The 17,738-nt window shown below is 38.5% G+C and overlaps 1 protein-coding gene across 10 annotated transcripts in view; it reads left to right on the top strand.

Annotated features, from left to right (window-relative positions):
• The window catches only part of KIF6 (kinesin family member 6), a 395,419-nt gene that overhangs the window by 11,279 nt on the left and 366,402 nt on the right, over nt 1-17,738 (top strand). The gene's annotated exons all lie outside the window — the stretch shown is intronic.

The following is a 17,738-nucleotide window of genomic DNA, read 5'->3' as shown; positions in this document are numbered from 1 at the left end:
AATTTATTAATAGGAATTCACAGTCTCCTAGGGACTAGACACTCAAGCACAGAGTCCTCTTATAAGGAATCCATATGGAAAACTACTGCTCATAAGCTTGCTTTCTGATCTGAAATCATCTGGATGATGCTAATGACCTAATGATAATCCCAAGACACATTCATCTTTACAGTTAAATAATGAAAATTATACCTGCTAAATGATCCCAGTTTTCAAGTCTGCTCATCAGTACACCTTTTTTAGTGGACATTGCTGGGAACACAGTGCCACATTTTGTCTCTCAAACTCCTGTTTTATGAATCCTATGCAAACCATGCCCTTGTCTTTTTAATACAGTCTCCTTCATTAGGTAACTTACAATCAAGTAGGCTTAAACTATTTCAGAGTTATAATCAAAATCCAACAATCCAATAACACCTCTTTAGATGAAATTCAAGTCTCCTTGATTAGATGTCAAACATTTCTGAAATTCCCTTCTTTTTAGTAATCATTTGGGTTGTGTCATTTTTCAGATAGCTAGTTTCGTGTGTTTTATTTTTAAACTTCCTAACATCATTCAGGAAGGGAACCTTAAGTTTCTTTTTCATGGATGCCTGGGTTTTCCTTCCACTACAGACTCTCTCATCTTGACCCCACTTTCTCCTCCAGCCACTGCCCTTTGCTTCAGCTTTACTTTACAGAAATGGCCTACTATATTCACTACTTCAGTTCCTCTCCTAAACCCTGTTCTTGTCAAGCTTTCGCCTCCACTGCCTCACTGAAATTGTTTTTGTCAAAGTCAACTATGACTTCTATTTGCTAAATTTAATAATGATCATTTCCCAGTCCTCATGCTATGTGATATGTCTGCCATTTTGACACAGTTGATCACTCCATCCTCCTCCAAATACTTTGTTCACTTGTCACACTCTCCTGGTTCTCCATTCCTTCTCAGTTAATTTATGCAGCTTTAATTGTGTGCGGTGACCATTTCCTCTTGCTGTTCCCTCTGCCCGGAATTCTCTTCCCTCAGAAATCTGCATGGTTTCTCCCTCAGCAACTTGAAATCTTTGCTCATAGCGGCTTTCTCAGTAAGGCCTTCCTGCAGTACCTTATTTAAAATTGCACCTCCGTTACCCTTCCCTATTTGACTTTATTTATTTTAGCACATATCACCATCTGACATTTTTTAAATTATTATTTTACTTTAAGTTCTAGGGTACATGTGCGCAACGTGCAGGTTTGTTACATAGGTATACACGTGCCATGTTGGTTTGCTGCACCCATTAACTCGTCATTTACATTAGGTATTTCTCCTAATGCTATTCCTCCCCCTGTCCCCAACCACATGACAGGCTCTGGGGTGTGATGTTCCCCACCCTGTGTCCAAGTGTTTTCATTGTTCAATTCCCACCTATGAGTGAGAACATGCGGTGTTTGGTTTTCTGTCTTGTGAGATGGGGTTTCACCATCTTGGCCAGGCTGGTCTTGAACTCCTGACCTCGTGATCCACCCACCTCGGCCTCCCAAAGTGCTAGGATTAGAGGTGTGAGCCACCGCACCTGGCCCTGACATATTATATAGTTTAATTCTATATTAGTTTTTGTGTCTATTTGCCTCCACTAAAACAAAGCTCCATGAAGGCAGGGGCTTCGTTTTATTCACTGATGTGATAAACTCCATGATAACAAGGTTTCAAAAACGACAGGCAAGAGCACTTTTATCCAAGCAGCTCAAGTTGGTCCCGGTGGGTTTTATCTTTTATCAATAAGAAATATTCCTCTTTATCCTTTTTATTACTTTTCTCCTTGTATTCTTTTTTTTTTCCTGAAATTAGTTTTGCTATTTTTTTCTGTCAGCCTTTGTCTTGTCTTTCTCCTTCTCCTAGTCAACTGCCTTGTGACATTTTGTTTTTAAGAATGGGCCTGATAAATAAAATATAGCTGCTTTTGCCTTTTTAGCTAAACCCACAGTTCTTGATCTTTAATTAGTTACTTTAACCAGTTTATCTTTTTTATGATCGCCATAATTTGGAGCTATTCCTCCTATGTTATTTTCTTTCTCCTCTTTATTATACTCCCTAATTTTTTTTCCTTTCTTGCTTTTTGTTGGTTTGACTGTTGTTGCTGCTTCCATTTTCTTTCTCAAGTTGTACATTGTACTTCAACAGCTCTAGTTTAAATTCAGATATTTAAACATTTGTATTTTTCTCAATATCAAAAACTTTGTCTCTGTCTCTGTCTTGCTCTCTCTGTCTTTTCTCTAGTCAAGAATGTTAGGATACTTTTACTTTGCCTCTCCTATACCTCTACAACTTCCACTGTGGAGATCAACTGATATTTCTGTCTGAATTATTATTATTAATTTTTATTAACGTTTATTTTAATTATCTCAAAGTTATACCTATTTCTTTGTCTATCACTGTTTCTTGTATTCATGTCTAATTCTTAGATTCCTTTTGGTAATCATCCTCTAATAACCTCTTAGAAAAAATTCAGGACTGGGGAACTTTCTGAAGTCTTTCCTTTCCCTTCACAGTTAAATGAGCCCAGGAGTTCAAGACCAGCCTGGGCAACATAGTGAGATTTTTGTCTCTGTAAATAATTTTAAAAATCAGCTGGGCATGGTGGTGCATGCCTATAGTTCCAACTACTCAGGAGGTTCGGGTGGGAGGATCACTTAAGCCCAGCAGGTTGAGGCTGCTATACCCAGCCATTTGACTGGGTATAGCACTCTGTGTTAATAGTTCTTTCCTCTCCAAACTGTGAAGATACTGCTTCATTGTCTCTTTGCATACAGGGTTGTTGAAAAGATGTCCATGCCAATCTGATTCTTATTTCTTTTTAGACATACTTTTTTTTTTTTTTTTTTTTACTTTCCAGGTGTTTTTAGGATTTTTTTCTTTTTTTGTTTTTATGAAATTTGATATTAATGAGTCTAGGTAAGGATTTTTTTTTCATGTATTCTTATCTCTCAGTCAGCTATTTCAATCTGAAAACTCAGATTCAAGGGTCATCACATGGACCATTTCTTTGGTAATTAAAAAAAATTCTTTCTTTTTTTTTTAAAGTGATCTCATTTTTATTTATTTATTTATTATTTAATTTTTTAATTTTTAGTTTTTGAGACATAGTCTCACTCTTTTGCCCAGGCTGGAGTGCAGTGGCATGATCACAGCTCACTGCAGCCTTGATCTGCTGGACTTAAACGATCCTCCTGCCTCAAGGCCTCCCGAGTAGTTGAAATTACACATGCATGCTACCACACTCGGCTAATTTTTTGAATTTTTTATAGAGATGGGGTCTCAGACTGGTCTCAAACTCCTGGGCTCAGGCGATCCTCCCACCTCGGCCTCCTAAATAATTTTCTTACCTCTAACATATCTATTCTTTATTTCTGGACCTTGCAGTCCTATCCTTCAAATATTACAACTTCCCATTCATAGTTCTCCTCTCTTTGCCCTGTGGTTCTGAGTTCTGCAAGAATTTGTCAGCACAGACTTCCAGCATGGTAATTTGCTTTTCAGTGGTGAATTCTTCTTTATCCCTCTAAATTTTTTAATTTTTGCTATTATTTTTCATTTCTAGGAAATGAAAAAGTCTATTCTTGCTTGTGAATGTGGTATCCTCCCTTTCCCTCTGAAGATAATGATCTTTTGAAACACTGGGTTTTTTTTTTTTTCTGTCTTCTTTTTCTTTATGTGCATGTTCTTCTGATGAGTTTGGTGCCTCGCTTTCCTGGTGCAGATTTCCCTCAGATACTGGTGATTCTTAGAGGTGGGCTTATCCCTGTCATTTGAGAATGCGTTTGTCTGTTTGAGCATGCTGTTTCTGTTCACTGTGGCCTACCCATGTGTCTATGGGGAAGGGATGGCATGTGCTGAGGGCATGGTGTGTTTATTTGCTAGGCGTGAGGCCCTCTTTCCTCCAGGGTGCTAGGAGTATCTTACTGTCCCTAATCCAAGCTTCTCCTCTGCAGAAACATGTACTGCACCAGTGAATAGACAGTTGGGGGCAGATTCACATTTTCTTCTCATTCATCTCTGTAGGAGAGTGTTGTTAAGCAAATTGACTTATTTAAGAGCCTGGGGAGGGAATCACTTTTTTCATTGACTTTAAATATGCTGTATACAGGATGTTTATATTTTATGCAAATTGTATGACTTTGAAATGGTAAAACATAAAATACTGATAAAATAAAGTGTCATTTATGCACAATATTTAAAGTAATGTATCCCCATACATTGAAAATCAAATTTTTAAGAATTACATAATTTGGCAGGCCTTTGAATAGACACTATACCACTTCAGATATTAAACAGAAATGTCCGCTATTCCTAGTGAAGATTAGCCTTCAAGAACACATTCCCAACATAAAATCTGACCACTTTAAACTAGCCCTTTAAAGTTATTCTACTGGGTTAACACATGGTAACTTAATTCTGGTTACTGTATGCAATTAAGGCTAAATAAAACTAATCACATTTCTGTCCAAAATTCTGTAATTCAGGAATCTCACCAATTTAGACATCTTTTCTACTTCGTCCAAACCAGTGATATTATGTGCATGACTATGTAGCAGGGGTCCCCAAAGCCCCAGGCCATGCACCGGTACCAGTCTGTGGCCTGTTAGGAACTGGGCCACACAGTAGGAGGTGAGTGCTGGTGGAGGGAGCATTACTGCCTGAGCTCCACCTCCTGTCAGATCAGCTGCGGCATTAGATCCTCATAGGAGCACAAACCCTATTGTGAACTGTGCATGCGAGCAATCTAGGTTACACACTCCTTATGAGAATCTAACTAATGCCTGATGATCTGGGGCGGAACAGTTTCATCCCAAAACCATCCCTCCGACAACACACAATTATTTGGTGGAAAAATTGTCTTCCACAAAACCAGTCCCTGGTGCCAAAAATGGCAGGGACCAAAGCTGTATAGGACTGCATGTATGGGGAGAAATAGTAAAGCTTGAACTTTGTATTATTGGAAATAAAGTAAAATAATCTTTGTGGTTATTTATTATTTAGTACATTTCCACTAGGAAGTGCTTCATCATGATGCCTCTTCTAATCTCAGGTGTCTTTGAAATCTATTTGGGTTGATTAGTAACATTGTCAAAACTGCCTTTTGTCATCTGAATTTTGCTCATTAATTTCTGGATGAATTTTTTTATAAAGGTAAGATTTAAGAAGTCTACAAATGTCTATGGTATTGCAGTATACAAAAGAGCGTCTTGTTTTATTTGTTTTTTTTTTTTTATCTAGTGTTGTGCTTCTCAAACTGAAGTGCATCAATCTCTGGAATATGTGGTAGGCTATCAGAGAATACCTGAAGCTTCAAGCAAAAATAGTACATTATCCTTGAGTGCCCATTTCATTCAAAGACTTAGGGAGGAAAACTATGAAGTCTAGACATTTGTGAGGTCTTAGCACACATCTGCAAGTTTGCAGAATTCCAGTTTTCTAATAGAGCCAATCTATGTTTTACCTAAAAGCTTGGGGTGTAGGAAATTTACTTTATGTGCAGTGAGTAATTTTGCAAAAATTTGGAAATTCAATGTTTTGTAAGAGCATGATGGTTTGACCAAAATGAATAGAATGTGCACTGGCAGGAGGACTGGCTATGCTATGACACAGTCCCAGTAGCTGGTGCTGAACAGCTAAGGCACCTACACTACAATAAGGCCAATGAGGTTGGCTTTTGGAAAGCTATTAGTCATTATGAGCCACCACTGGTTAACCTTTGATTTCACCAGTGATGAACATTATCAGGAGCAGCCTTTCAATTTATAGTAAGAAGATTTCTCTTTTCCTTCACTCTCTTCTTACTGTAAAGGGACGCTACCCTCTCAGGTTTGGAGAAGGATGTGCTTGACAACTTTTGCACATGAGCTCTTGCTGGGTGGGAGGCCAAGGCTTGATGCAGGGGATTTTCTCATGGCAGGGGGCAGTACCACACTCTCAGTTGTGCCAAGGTCATTGCCCAGCAGGACTTTTGCCTGTTGCTCTTTAGGAAACAGGCTTTGCTGATAATGCCGTGGGTTGCCTAGCACACCCAGTTCTGCTAATCCAACCAGAGAAGAGATCCTGCTCTTTCAAGACAAGGAGGACAGAATAGGGAGAAAAAGGCTCACAAAAGAGGATTAAAAAAATCTTAGTTATTCACTTCTGTGTACTCATGGTTTTACCTTTTCTGGCTCAAAATATTTGGCATCAAGTCAAATAATCCAATTCTGGCCCTAGCCCTGTGACTAACTCCCTATGTGACTCTGAATCAGACATATCACTTCTGAATCAGTTATCCCTTCTGAGAAAGGGGATGCTAATAACACCAAGTTTACAAGGTTGTTTTAAAGATGAAAAGAAACAATGTGCTTTACAAGCGTCAGTGCCCTATTCAATGTAAGGGATGAAAAAATTAGAAATCTTTAATTTCTTTGCCACTCAAAAAACATGCTTAGTGACCTCTGGTTCCAGACCAAGATAGAGTAGACACACTTCTCTCTATTCCCCTTACTAAGTACAGCTAAAGACTCTGGACGTCATATACAAAGAAACATGACTCTGAAAGTTGAAGAGAAGATAGCCTAGCTAGAGACCTCAGGACCTGAGAAGTGACAGAATGGTGAATCCCCTTGGATTTTTCCCCTCATATATCTGCACAGAGCGGGGACACTTAACCACCCTGCCCAGATTGGATGCTGGAGAAACCAGACACCCAGAAACACCAGTGGGCTCAGACAAAATCCTCAAGAAGAGTCTACTGTCTCTAGCAAGAGGGCCAGGGGACTGGCAGCCTAGCAAGACAGAAAACTTGTAGATACTAGTTGCCTTACTCCGTCCAGATACCATGGAAAAACCCGTGACTCCACCCCTATGTGTTTTAAAGAGAAGGGGGCCCTAAGGGAAGTAAGGTTTCTACACTTCATTCAAACTGGTAAAATGTTAACACCAGTAGATTTCTATAGTGATAGAATAGTTCTGTATTTTGATGGCAGTGGTGATTGCTTAATTCTACACATGTGAGAAAACGGCATAGAACTATACACATACATTCTACCAATGTCAATTTCCTGGTTTTGAAAATGTACTACAGTTATGCAATATGTAACCACTGGGGCAAATGGGGTCCAGAGAACTATTCTATACTCTCTTTATGACTTCCTGTAAATTTATCATTATTTCAAAATAAAGCAGTAAGAAAATCCTCAGTTATAAAAATTTTAGTGACATTTGTTCTGTGATATTCTTCTATTCTGTAAATTAGGCAATCTCAGTTATTGCACTGGAACTTCTCCCCCAGGGGATTCAATAAAGCTAATCCCATCTGAAATTCACAAAAACACCAGTGACATTTTGTTTTTTTTCCAAGTTTACAGGAAACGTTATTCACCACTGAATTGTACAAAAACTCATTGCCTGTTCCCTAAATCTGTTCAACTTCTGGCCACAGTTGCACTTTGCCAGATGCGTTGTTTATAAACATGTACCTGCACTTGGCTTTACTTGCTGCTATGCTGAATTTCCTGATGACATCACATTTCTGGCTTTTGTGACTTTACAATTATACTTAAATCTAAACTTTTAAGTGTGACAATTTTAAAATTACATTTTCAACTGAGAACATGGTCTTATGATTAAAAACAGGGACACTAACATATCAGCTTAAAGCCATGTAATTATACAAGATGATGACCTTGACAAGCTCCATCAAGGACTTAACAAGGAAGGGGATAATATTCCCATTCTACCTACAGCTGTTGAATGTGAATAAAACAACAGCAGTTGATGTAACCAGTATAGAATGTATTAAAGATGCACATTTCAAACACAGATTTTATTACTGTAGGTAAAAAGTGAGCCTAAATCTCGGTTTCTCTTCTTAAGAATAATTGATCAAGAAATTGCATACTATCATTTTTGCAATAATAACTACAAGTTATTCATAATTTTTGATAAAATACCTACAGAAAAAAAAGCATAAGAGTTGCATGAAGCTATTTGATTGTAAGAAGTAGGATTCCTTGACAGAATATTGTATATGCAAGGGGTGAAAATTACTGGGTCAGCGGTAAAATAAAAAGCGTTACTTGGATTAAAAAGTTAGTTGGGGGTTTCCTAAGATAATAAAAGAGACGAACCAGTGGATCGGAGATGCACTGATTCTGCAGCATGAAGAGACATCTCTTAAGCTGGTGCCACCAGAAGCAGATCCTGAGGCTAGGATTCCAGGGAAAGTAATTTGTTTGGGAGGTGAGTTCAGGAAGCACCAGGAGTGCAGTAGGGAAGTGAGAAAGCGAAGGAAAGGAAGGTAGGGTCCTTTAAGGAGCAGGTTACCACTGTAAGCAACTGGGACTTATTTCTACTGGTACCCACTGGGGAACTGTTAGGAACATGTCTCAGAGTTGTCCCACCCAAGGGGCAAAGAAGCCAGGGTACTTGACCACTCCTGCCCATTATTGGTTGAAGGCTGCTTCTGGGGTGTTCACATCATGGCACTTTGAGCCTCACCTGTGTGTGAATTAAACTTCATGGAGGCAAGGTCTCCTCTTTACCTTTGTTCACTGTAGTGTTCCTGGCTCCTAGAATAGTGTCAGGTGTCTATTAGATACTCTGAGTATTTGTTGAGGAAGAGAATTGGCAGATAGAGGATGATCCTTTAGCACCTGTCAGCCTTCCCTTTATTGCTTAAATGCACAGTGATGGGCTTTATTTCTTATAAAGTGAGTTTTATTTCTGTTTCCTTCCTGAAGTACTTTTTGGACAGAGATCTTTTCAATGACTAAAATCACGCTATATAGACACCTGCTCTTTTGTCTAGGCCAGTGGTTCTCAAAGTGTGGTCCGTAACCCAGCAGCATCAATGTTACCTGGGCACTTGTTAGAAATGCACATTCTCAGGCCTCACCCAGACCTATTGAATCAGAACTATCTGTAGTTTAACAAGCCCTCCAGGTGATTCTGATGCACACTAAGGTTTGAGATTCACTCACCTAGGCCTACAGCTAGGCTGTGGGGTGATGCAGATAGGGACAGATGATACCAGTGGTATTTGTTGTTAGTATCTTCCTCAGAGATCCAAGATGTGCTCTAAACGACTTTACAATTCCGAAATTGGTATTTGTTTGTTTATAATTTACCTCCCACTTATTTCTAAAATAAATTAAAGCACCTTATCCTAAAGCCAGAACCGGCTTCATATACATGAGACCTATGTCATAACACAGGGCCCCATGCTCAGAAGGGACCCACTCTTGATTTAAAGCACTATAGTTAACATTCACAGGAACGTTACAAGTTAAGAGAAATCTGAAACTATTTAGACTAAGTTAGGTGCTTAACAGATTATTTTCAGAAAGCTGAACATTTTCTCTAAAGATATAATTGGGGGAGACCATATAACACATTGACTAAGAGCAGGGACTTTGGAGCCATATAAGTGCAGTTCAGATCCCAACTTTAATACTTATTAGCTCTATGTCCTTGGGCAAGTTATTTCATCTTTCTCTGTTCTAGCTTTGCTTTTTTTTTTTTAAAGACGGAGTTTCTCTCTGTCACCCAGGCTGGAGTGCGGTGGCACGATCTTGGCTCACTGCAACCTCTGCCACCCAGCTTCAAGCAGTTCTCCTGCCTCAGTCTCCCAAGTAGCTGGGATTACAGGCATGTGCCACCCCACCCTGCTAATTTTGTATTTTTAGTAGAGACAGGGTTTTACCATGTTGGCCAAGCTAGTCTTGAACTCCTGACCTCAGGTGATCCACCTGCTTTGGCCTCCCAAAGTGCTGGGATTACAGGCATGAGCCAACGCGCCTGGCCTGAACCAGCTTTTTATCTTTAAGTGGGGAAAATGATACTGTAATATCTACCTCATTTGCCATGACAATCCAATGAGCTGTACGTGAAAATCACATGCCCCAGTATATGTGATTGCTCAGTAAGTACATAGTGCATGCTCAATGAGTATTAGCTATCATCCATTTTTGGCTCCCCACTGACATTTTTATAGAAAAGGATTTTCATCCCAATTCAGAATTTTACCAAGTTATGAATGTTTTTCTGTATGATTTTTTTCCCCCTTAACTCTTTTTAGATTTGGTTTCTCCCGAGGCACCAAAAAGTTTGCAATTTTATATCAGATCTTCAATTCAGGACTTGAGGATACACTTACAAATAAACCAAAGATATTTCTAGTTATTATTTCTCACCTTGATAGCCTCCAAAAGAGAGATATAGAAAGAACACAAGTAGGAAGCAAGGTGTTCTGGAAAATCCTTCCTATACAAATGTGTAGTGATTGATTACAACTGGCAAGATTTTTACTATAGTTATTTGACTTTATAATTGACTGGCAAAAGCAAAATCATACTGAAAATATGTTGTTAGAATGGTTGGAGAATATACAGCAGTAAATTTATCTCGTGCTTTATCACTTGCAGATCTAAATATCTTCATTTAAAAGTTCCTTTACTTGGAGCAGAGCACTTTTAGCAGAGTTTCTATCATTGTCAGTGAATTTGAGCCTTACTTTTATACTAGGCCATGTGTTTCTGGTCAGAATTTTTAGTGTAATTCTTGCTAAATAATAGGAACAAATTTACTTATTAATTGATAACACTAAGAATATATATTATTTTATATAAAGCTTTGCCAATATAAGAGCAGTTTCACGTATATTATCTCACCTAATTTTTATAATGACCCTATGGGTTGATAGATATTATTATTCCCATTTTAGATGAAAAACGGGACCCTGAGCATTTAATTGGTTTCTGCGGGGTTACCCAGTAATTAGGTTGTGGAGCTGAAACTAGAATAGATCTTCCTTTCATAGTCTTTTGTTTCTTAAATTGCTTTATCACACCCAGCATTTATGTGTTTCATTCAATTTCATTGAAATCATCCTTGCTAAATTCACTAATGATGTTCATGTCACTGAATCAGTGGGCTTTGTTCAGTCTTCATCCCATTTTACCTTTCAGTAGCAGTCAACAGTGTTAACTCTTTCCTTGTGGCCATGACAAATAGGCAAAATTGAGATGTTTGTTTTGTCTTGGTGGCCGGGAGTGGGGGTGGGGGGTTGGTGGATTTTGTCTTGGTGGCCGGGGGGTGGAAATGGGGGTGGGGTGGAGTTGGGAAATGAAAGGCAACTTTCCCTTTTACTGCTCACCTCCTGAGTTTTTTCTCCTGTGCTCCAGATGCCCAAGTACTTTACCTACTGCATCCAACTCCCATGCTCTGTCAAATTTTTGCATGCAAATGACATTTCTTCCTTTTGTTTATAAAATTTCTTCATTCAGTGTAGCCGTTCTCAGAGGAAAATAATTAAATTAGATATATGAAACTTCATTTGACATTCATTCTGCTAATATTTACTGAGTGTCAGCTGTATATCAAGCACTGCAAATAAGTCTAACTTTCTTAAAGGAATTTGTGTTATTAACAGAAAGATCCTGACTGCCTTGGTGGCTCATGCCTACAATTCCACCACTTCGGGAGGCTGAGGTGGGAGGATCGTTTGAGCCCAGGAATTCAAGACCAGCCTGGAGAAAAAGATTTTTGTTTACCAAAATTAGTCCAATTTCAGGCACAGCAATACACTGAAATGAAAGATATTAAGTTGTGTGAGAGACATATTGGGCAAGCATCCAATTATGTCATTGCCATACTTACAGTCCTCACAGCTTTTGATAAGGAAAAATGTTCTACCCAGTTTCCAGTGGAACTATGTTGTGATCCTGTGACACTGTCGTCTGCAGCCATGGCCGAAGGAATCTGAGTCAAGGGCAGCAAAACAAAGGCTGCCTGCTTATGGTATAGGAGGTCAATCTAGGGGCTAGAAGCATTGCCCAAATAGAAATGAGCTGGGGCCATCAGACTATCACTCTTGGCGGTGTGAACTGGGAAAATCTGGACAAATCAGGCTATTACCAGGAACAGAAGCTGAAAGGCATTCAGGTAGAGAGAATGAGAGTCTGGAAGGATCACTATGGACAAGGAGATGACAGTTAGGAATCAGCAGAGGCTATACTAGACAAAGGTAAACAAGGAGAAGGGTCCTAAGAGATCTGGAAGTCTGGAGGAAATTCCCATTTCCACATGCCCTCATATTCTTACAATTACCTTCCTTCTTGTTGGTTTTTATTCATTATATCAGAAGCATCTAATTAAATCAGGGCCACATTTTATAAGTAGACTTGATCTATTTTGTGTATACCAAATTTGTTGACCTGAGTAAAGATTGAGAAATTCCTTTTGAGTTCATATTGAATGTCCAAAAGCAAAATAATAGTTGTGTAAATGAAGTTTAATGCTTGAATCAGAGGATTTTATTGAGCCTAGTCTCTAGTGTGAAATGCAAAACCAATATTCTTCACTAGTGACTGCAGGTGAAGGATATGATGTTACTTCTCTGCTCAGAACCCTTCAGTGGCTCCATATTTCACTCAGAGAAAAAGCCAGCTCCTTGTGATGGCCTAGAAGGAACTCTGGCTTCCTAGGCCTGGGCCTCGTGCAGTCCATTTGTTTTAATGCTCAGCGGTTGCTGTCTTGAAATTCTTAACAATTTTATCTTTGAACGTATGTTTTGTAAGTGAAGTCCTGTGAGACAACAAAGCATAAACCTGAACAGGGGAGATCTGTGGAGCAGCAGCACACGCAAGTTGTTATGCTCCAGCAGCAGTTTGTGCGCAGGCAGGCTCGGGCACAGAGCAGCATCCACGCAATAGCATTTGGCCCGCTGTATACACCTCAGAGCAGTCCAGGATACCATGGGGACCCCAGCAGGAGGATATCCTGGAACCTGGACCCAGATTGGTGGTAGCAGCTGTGACAGCATGAGCAGAAGTGGCAGTGTGGCCATGCCAGAGCAGGGCTTCCCGTGGGGGCTGGACCAGGACTTGCCTAGGAGGTGGCTATCCCATAGGTACCAGAGCCAATCTCTTTGTCCTGAGTGTCTGAACAGAAACTTTTGGAGCTCAGGCAGCAAACTTAATCAGTAAATTATTACAAAATTAAAGTGTGCATGTTAACATCGCAATAAAACATATCAAGAAGTTGTTAGAATTCTTCAGAATTTAGAATTACCAGTTTTGAAAACTGCTGCAACTTTGTAAGGCAAATATCTACAGGCTTAGAAATAAAAATTAAATTTAAAGGCTAGGTGCGGTGGCTCACACCTCTAATCCCAGCACTTTGGGAGGCTGAGGCAGGCAGATCACCTGAGGTCAGGAGTTCAAGACCAGCTTGGCCCTGTCTCTACTAAAAAATACAAAAGTTAGCTGGGTGTGGTGGCATGTGCCTGTAGTCCCAGCTACTCGGGAGGTTGAGGTATGAGAATGGCTTGAACTGGGAGGCAGAGGTTGCAGTGAGCCGAGATCGTGCCACTGCACTCCAGCCTGGGTGACAGAACAAGATTCCAACTCAAAAAAAAAAAAAATTAAAATTATGGATACCATTTTCATGTGAAACTTCAGATGAACCAATTATTAATAAGGAAGACAATTTTGAAGTTAATTTTTTTCTTGTAATAGTAGATACAGTGAGGGAATGCATAAGCAGGTGTTTTGAATTATGAACTTACCATGAAGCTTCTTTCAGTTTCTTGTTCAACCTCCACAAGTGACAGGAAATATCATAGGAAACATTAAAATGCATTGTATATATTTACATTTAAAACAAAATTCAAACTTCCATGAAACTGACTTGCATGTAGGGTTAAATCTTTTTAGAAAAATTAGTTTGCAAGGATCATCAGCTTGAACATACTAAAACTTACATTTCGAAGTAATTTACAGAAATTTACCTTAATGTTGTCACAGTTTATAAAATACTCTTAGCTCTAGTGATAACTGAGATCAACTGAAAGATCTTTCTCCAAATTAAAAGTTAGCAAACCTTATAGAAAGAATGAATAAGACCTACTATTGAATAGCACAACAGGGTGACTATAGTCAATAATAACTTAAGTGTACATTTTAAAATAATTAAATGAGTGTAATTGGATTATTTGTAATACAAAGGATAAATGCTTGAGGGGATGTATGCCCATTCTTCATGATGTGATCATTATGCATTGCATGGCTGTATAGCCATATGTATCGCCTTAAATATTTACACCTACTATGGACCCACAAAAATTAAAAAGCTAAAAAATAAAAATGAAAATCAGAAAAAATGATTTGTGAGCTGGAATGTATCAAAAATAATTGACATTGCTTTCAATTATATCCATTGAAAATGAAGTTGCTAAAAATATAAACTTCAATGATCAAATAAATGAATATGTAGAAAAGTAAGCGAGGAAATTTGTGTGATCAGTCAAGATATATTAATAAAGTATTATTGTTTTATATTGTATAAAATTATAGCATCAACATATTATATTTTTGCAATTTGGAAATTTATCCCTTACTCATTTATTATTATTCCTCTAATTATGTTATCCCTATATTACAAATACTAAAATGTTTTTAAGGGAAAAAGTTTTATATTTTGGTACCTTTAACAGCACTTTTCCTCTACTTTTTCAACAAGGGGCCCTGCATTTTCATTGTGCACTGGGCTCCACAATAGTTTAGCCAGCCCTGCCAAAAAGGCCAGCTTCCATGATCCACTTCCCCCTTGTAAACAAAGGGGACCTTACCTTATAGTTTTGTTTTGTTTTTCTAATATTCTCCCTTTTGCTTACTCTGCTTCAGCTTTTAACATTCCGGAAACCTCTAGCCTTAAAGGCTCTTGCCCTGGCTGTTTTCTGTGTCTGGAATGCTCTTTCCCCACATACCCAGATAGCTCACACTGTCACCTCTTTAAAGTCTTTGTTCAAATGATACCTTCTTAGTGAGGCCCATTCTGACCAGGCTACTAAAAACTGCAGCCCATCTCTGCCCCAACCACCATGGCATTCCTCACTCCCCTACCTGATGCCACATTTTTTTTTTCATAGCACTTATCATCTTCTAATATATAATTTACTTATGTGCTGTGTTATTGTACATTACCTATCTCCTCTGCTAGAATGCAAGCTTCACAAGTACAGGGATCTTTTTGTTTTCTTCACTAATGATTCCCAATCACATATAATAGTGCCAGCCCATAGTAAATACCCAGTAAATATGTGTGGAATGAAGCCTGAAACTACCAGTTAGACATGCAGCTGCTACGCAAGCCAAAATTATTCACATAACTGCAAGGTGTTTTTCCTTGTTGTGCAATAGGCAAATTAGATTCTTGATTCCTCAAATTGTTTACAGCTACTGCTTTTGTATTTCCATTGATTTTAATTAATGAAAATTCCCATTATAGAGCCATGCACTGAATGTGTGCTAATTAAATAGTGTTGTTCATGTAATTGTAGCATATTTAGAGCCATAAAAAGCTTTCAGAGTGCTAAAAACTTTGTTATAAAAGCTAAAACAGTTGTAAAATAAGAAAATCCCAATGGCTGAATTCTTTATTTGCTTGTTAAGAATATTTATTTCTTAGGAAACCCTATTTTGCCTCAATCTAAATGATAATAGAAGTACAGTATATTTTCACTTGGGAGTGTCTGTGTTTTCACTCTGAGTTTCGGTGCCTAGCCAATTGTGTCAGGAATTATTCTTATTCATAAATAAAATATTCTTCATCTATGGCTCTGTCGAGATTTAAATGTATGTTTACTAACTTGTATTCACTCTCAAGCACTAGAATCTTTGGCAATCAATATTTCTTTTTCTTATAATTTAAGTTGTGTTTACTTTATCATAAGAACACCACATTTTCTTCTTACTGAGACAAAAATCAGGTTTAATGTTACAACTAGGCAGTATCCTTTTTAAATAAAATAACAAACTTCTTTTGTATGATTCTTTTTAAAAAATGGAATTGCTTCTTTAATGAGAGAAATTGTGCTGAAAGCTGCTATGCTGTGTTTATGTATCTGGTAGAGGAAGTATTTCTATCAGTACATGAAAATCTGGATTTCCAAGGAAGCCACAAGAATAATGTAACATTTAAGTAGCAAGCCAAAGTCATTTTCTAAATGTTGATATGTAAAAACTGAATTAGCTTCTTGAAAAATAATTAGAAGGATGAAAATCATGGCAATAGTCTCATATCTATATTAGATGAAGTCATGCTGCAAAGATTTCCCAATTTCCATGTGATATTAATAATTATATGAGTAATATTATATGAGTAAACAATGTAAGGTGCTAAGGAGATATTAAGATAGACACTGAAAAGTTGTTGATGCTGTAGTTTCCCAATCTGTTTTATCCTTAATATGCCAGTGAACTTGTTAGGTCACATAGAAAAATGATCAGTCTAGGCCGGGCACGGTGGCTCATGCCTGTAATCCCAGCACTTTGGGAGGCCGAGGCAGGTGGATCACCTGAGGTCAGGAGTTTGAGACCAACCTGGCCAACACAAAGAAACCCCATCTCTACCAAAAATACAAAAAAAAGATTAGCCAAGTGTGGTGGTGTGTGCCTGTGATGCCAGCTACTTGGGAGGCTGAGGCAGGAGAATCACTTGAACCTGGGAGGCGGAGGTCACAGTGAGTGGAGATCATGCCACTGCACTGCAGCCTGGCAAAGAGAGCAAGACTCTGTCTCAAAAGAAAAAAAAAAAAAAGAAAGGATAAAGAAAAATGGTTAGTCTAATATTAGTCTTGAGATCTTTTTCAATGACAAGAGATGGAAACCCCCTGCAAAAGGGAATTTATTGGCTTACATAACTGGGAAGTCTAAAAATATGTTGACTTCAGTCTCAGTTTCCTCCATGTGGCCGACAGCACCAACCTGATAGGCTTATGAACCACGACCCTTAAGACAGGACATTGTCCTTTCTACTAGCTTCAGTAGAATTTCCATATGAGGATTCTGGAGTCACATCCCCATCCCCAGACCAATCACTGTCACTAGAGGCATGGAGCACTCTGATTACCTTGGCTTCCTCAACCTGATTGTCAGTCCTATCTGCACCATTTGGAAATAGGGAGAGGTTTCACCAAAGGACAGAAGTTGGTGATGCCAGAGAAGAGAGATAAGAAAACAAACTTGGCAGATAAACCTCCGCTTTGGGTTAATAGGAAAAGTAAACAAACCCAAATCAATTAGAAGATACCTAGGAGATATTTCAGGCTTGAGGACTTTTAGAGATGACTATAGAAAATAAAAAAGAGTAGGGCTTGTTCACATTTTGGCTGTACCTGTGGCATCTAACAATTTTTTTTTTCTAATTCTGCCATCTGTCTAACCATGGGAGGTTTACAGATACCTATACATTTTGAGTTGATTGTAGTTATACTAGATTTAAAAAAGAGCTAACATGTATGAGGTTCCTACTATGTTTCAGGCTGTGAATACTTTGAGATGTGTGTGTGTGTGTGTCCAGTATTTACACTGTACACACACACACAAACTTTGAGATACACAGACATACACAATATCTCAAAGTATTTACAGCCTGACACCTAGTAGGAGCCTAGTTTATGTTAGCTGTTTTATAATATATATATTTATATATTATATACTGTACACACACACACACATTCTAGTTGAAATCTGTGAGGTGTAGATTCATCAGTGAAGAAAAACTTAAGACAATAGTGACTTAAAGTCATAACCACTTACTATTTCACATACAAGAAACCTGCAGGTAGGCAGTCCAAGGCTGTATTGGCAGCTTTCTGGTCACTAGGGACTCAAGCTCCTTCTCCCTTGCCGTTGCACCATCTTTATCACATCAGCTTGTGACACAGGATGGCCGCTTGAACTCCAGC

Source organism: Homo sapiens, chromosome 6, assembly GCF_000001405.40.
Source record: "Homo sapiens chromosome 6, GRCh38.p14 Primary Assembly".
NCBI classification, from domain to species: domain Eukaryota; kingdom Metazoa; phylum Chordata; class Mammalia; order Primates; family Hominidae; genus Homo; species Homo sapiens.
The sequence above is the reverse complement of the archived record's forward strand: the minus strand, read 5'-3'. Positions and strand labels throughout refer to the sequence as shown.